General features: G+C 40.6%; 1 annotated feature.

Annotated features, from left to right (window-relative positions):
• Positions 317-611: a silencer, noted in NCBI's record as "tiled region #10633; HepG2 Repressive DNase matched - State 5:Enh". NCBI's record gives its function as "represses a minimal TATA promoter and a strong SV40 promoter by Sharpr-MPRA in HepG2 cells {active_cell/tissue: HepG2}" and the evidence as "EXISTENCE:reporter gene assay evidence [ECO:0000049][PMID:27701403]".

Genomic DNA, 3,994 nt, shown 5'->3' with positions numbered 1-3,994 from the left:
TCACAAGTTTACCACCAGGCTGTTTCTCTGCTGATTCTGATGAGTCTTCTGAGAAGCAGTTGCTCTAGTTTTCATTTCTATGGTCCTGATCTTGCAATCTCTCACATTCTCCATGCTCAAGGTCTTGCCTAGAGATAAGTCTGCAAGCCCATGTCCAAGACCTATCAAAAATTGTCTTTATTGCTACTAGATATCCATCCCCACTTCTTCCTTACTTACAGAAAAGCAATATTTTTGAGTATCTGGCAGCAATATTCCAAGCTGAAAATTATATGTTCCAGCCTCCCTTACAGGTGTCCCTGAGATCTGGCCAGCGAAGCCCAAGTGAAAGTTGCCTGTGGATTTTCTAGGACTGTTTTATTTTCCTAACATGAAACTTATCTCTTCTTTTGCATATTCTTCTTTTTCTGCTGCCTGGCGCTCCACTCAGCAAATGGTCAGTTAATGAGTACCTGCCATTCTTCCAAGCTATGGCGATATAGCAGTAAGCAAATATCCTTGCCCTTGTTGTGTGTACATTCTAGTGGACCATCTTGCAGTAAGAAGGAAAGCAAATAGAATCACAATCAGCCTCAGCTTTGACATTTCAAAGCACCTGAACCAAAGATGGGAACTTACTTGAGAAAAATAAAATCTCATTTAGTCATATTTTCAGTTACTTGCAACTGGACACAATTACTAAACATACTACTGCCTTTTTTGTTGGTGGGTGGGGGGTCGGGGGGACGGAGTCTTGCTCTTTGTCACTCAGGCTGGAGAGCAGTTGCACGATCTCAGCTCACTGCAACCTCGGCCTCCCAGGTTCAAGCAATCCACCTGCCTCAGCCTCCTGAGTAGCTGGGATTACAGGCACCCACCACCATGCCCAGCTAATTTTTGTATTATTAGTAGAGATGGGGTTTCACCATGTTCGCCGGGCTGGTCTTGAGCTCCTTACCTTAAGCGATCCACCTGCCTCAGCCTCCCAAAGTGCTGGGAATACAGGTGTGAGCCACTGCACGCAGCTGCCTTTCTTTCTTTAACTACAGGTAAGTTCCTTTATAGTTAAGATATCTGGAAGACACCTTGATGGAATAAAATGGTTTCTCAACCTCAACACTCTTGACATTTTGAACCAGATAATTCTTTGTTGTGGAGCTGTCCTAGGCACTGTAAGATGTTTGGCTGCATTCCTGACATCTACCAACCAGATGCCAGTAGCCGCATCCCCCTCCCAAGATATGACAATCAGAATGTCTCTAGACATTGTCAAGTGTTCCCTGAAAGCCAGATTTTCCCTGGTTGAGAACCACTCGCATATGGATGGTGGTGCTGGCAGAGCTAAGGCAAGCAACAAAAGCCAACCCAAACCCAGAGTATTTGGAAACAAAGCATTACTTCCTCCATCGTGGAAAGAATCCAATACAGCTAATCTACCTCTGGGGAGCTGGCTGCCCTTCCCCCCACCCTCCAGTTATCACAGCATTCCAAGAGCTCAGGGCCACTTGGCCACTGCTGCCAACAGTCCCTGCACTCCACCACAGCAGGTCAGACTTGGTGAGAGGAAAAGGGTTGTTGAGTACAGGCACAGCCTCCCTTCCTGCCACCACACTCACTTTGTGAGCACTGAGGTATCTGGGATACCCCAATTTTTGTGAGCATTGGGATATCTGGGAAAGGAGTCTAACATCTCACAGAGTGGGCCATCCATCCTACTTACGTAGTCACAAAGGCCCCCTCTGTATCAAGGCCTTGTGGCAAGCATTCATGTGGGCCACAAATAGCTCCTCACTTCACATTTACCTGAGAGGTCAGTTCACAGACACCTTCACAGGCCTCCTCAGCCATTTCCCAGTCTTGCTTCTTCCAAACCCTTAACCATCAGAGCGTGTCTTTGTCTATTTGGGCTGCTATAAAAACCAAATACCTGAGACTGAGGGGCTCATAACAACAGAAATTTATTTCTTCCAATTCTGGAGATTGGGAAGTTCAAGATCAGGTGCCAGCACGGTCAGGTTCTGGTGAGGGCCTGCCCCTGGATTGCAGACTGCCAGCTTCTTGCTGTGTCCTCACATGGTGGAAGGGACAAGGCAGCTCTCTGGGGTCTCTTTTATTATAAGGGCATTAATCTCACTCATGAGGACTTCACCCTTGTGACCTAACTACCTCTAAAAGGCCCCACCTTCTAATACCACCACCTTGGGGGTTAGGATTTCAGCATGTGGATTTGCAGGAGACACAAATATTCAGACCAGAGTACAGCCCAATTGCAAGTCAGGGGTTATTTCCTTTTTTTTTTTTTTTTTTAAAAAAAAGAAAAAAGTTCTTTGCTGAAAGAGGTGACTTTCCTCCAAAATCCTAGCAAGCCAATTTGTCCCATGCAGCTTACAAAATTTGCTGGGTCTTAAGAGCCTAGCTGCAGAGCCAATCAACTTAAAAGCTTTTACCCCCTGGAGATGCTTTCCCCTGGCCCAGCTCTCATCAAACCTGGTGGCTTTTCAGATCACCCAGTAAATAGGTCAAATAGGTGTTAAATGTTATTCATAGTGATTTACTAGGAACTACATCAGGATGAGTAGTGTGGTGTGTGTGAAAGTTAATTTTATTCAGCCTCTTAGGGCTAGCTGATTGGCATAAAGAATATTAGAAATAACTTTCACTAGAGAAATTAAAGTTTAAGACACGGTTTACTTCGAAACCACCAATGTGATGATTGATGCAGGTTAGGATTATCAATGGGTGCTAAATCAGTCTCAGAGTATCACCCCACAGGTCGCTTTTTAATAACAAAGAGAAAAAGATACCTAATGGAAATAAAATCTGGCAGACATCAACTTAATTATGTAAACAAATTAATACCACCAGTAATGGGGAAAAAATGACATTTTGTGTCTCCTACATGAGAAGAACACATTATCTGTGTAGAGTTCTTGCCAAAAATATCTAGCCTAAATCTAATCATAGGGAAAAATTCGAGAAGTTTAAATTATAGAGCATTATGCAAAAACACTGGTCTGGACTCTTCAGAACTTTCAGTATTCCAAAATAAAAGTTTTAAAAATCTAGATTAAAATTAAATTTAAAAACTAATGGACACGATAACTAAATGCAATGAATAATCCCTGATTGGACCTTAGATTCAAAATAAATAGATATATTATTTTATTATTAAAACAATTGGGAAAATTTGAATTTGAGTATAGACTGCATATTAAATTTCTTAAACATGATCATGTAATTGTGGTTATGTAAGAGAATGGCCTTCTTCTTAGCAGCTAGTATTTAAGGTGAAGTGTTTAAGGGTAAAGCATCATAATGTTCCAACTACTTTCAAGTAGTTTGGAAAAAGATACATAAGCATAAACTCACATGTTCATCAACAGATGAATGGATAAAGAAAACGTGGTATATGCATTAAAATGGAGTATTACGCAGCCTTTAAAAAGAAGGAAATCCCTGTCACATTCAACATGCATAAACCTTGAGGACATTATGCTAAGTTATATAAGCTAGTCACAAAAGCACAAATACAGCACTTTTCCACTCACATGAGATATCTAAAGTAGTCAAAATTATAAAAACAGAAAGTAAGAAAGTGGTTGCCAAGGACGGGGAGAGTGGAGAAGGAGAATTAGTTTGTTTCTGGCCATCAAGTTTCAGTTTTGCAAAATGAAAAAGTTCTAGAGATCTGTTGCACAACAATGTGAATATACTTCACACTATTGAACTGGACACAAAAATAGTTAAGATAGTAAATTTAATGTGATACGTTTATAACCACAATTAAAAATAAAATAAAAATTTAAAAATATAGACCCATATATGTTCATGACTTATGTATGTGTGTAGGTAAATATATGTATATATTATTTCTTAGAAAGAAAAGTAGGCAAAGCAAATGTGGGAAAATGTTAATAACTGTGAATCTGGAGAGAAGATATGTGGGTATTTTTATATTATCCTTTCCCTTTTTCTAAAAAAGGAAGTGGGGGCTAATCTGTGATTCACTTAGAAT

The sequence above is a fragment of the Homo sapiens genome, chromosome 11, assembly GCF_000001405.40.
Source record: "Homo sapiens chromosome 11, GRCh38.p14 Primary Assembly".
Classification (NCBI taxonomy): domain Eukaryota; kingdom Metazoa; phylum Chordata; class Mammalia; order Primates; family Hominidae; genus Homo; species Homo sapiens.
The sequence above is the reverse complement of the archived record's forward strand: the minus strand, read 5'-3'. Positions and strand labels throughout refer to the sequence as shown.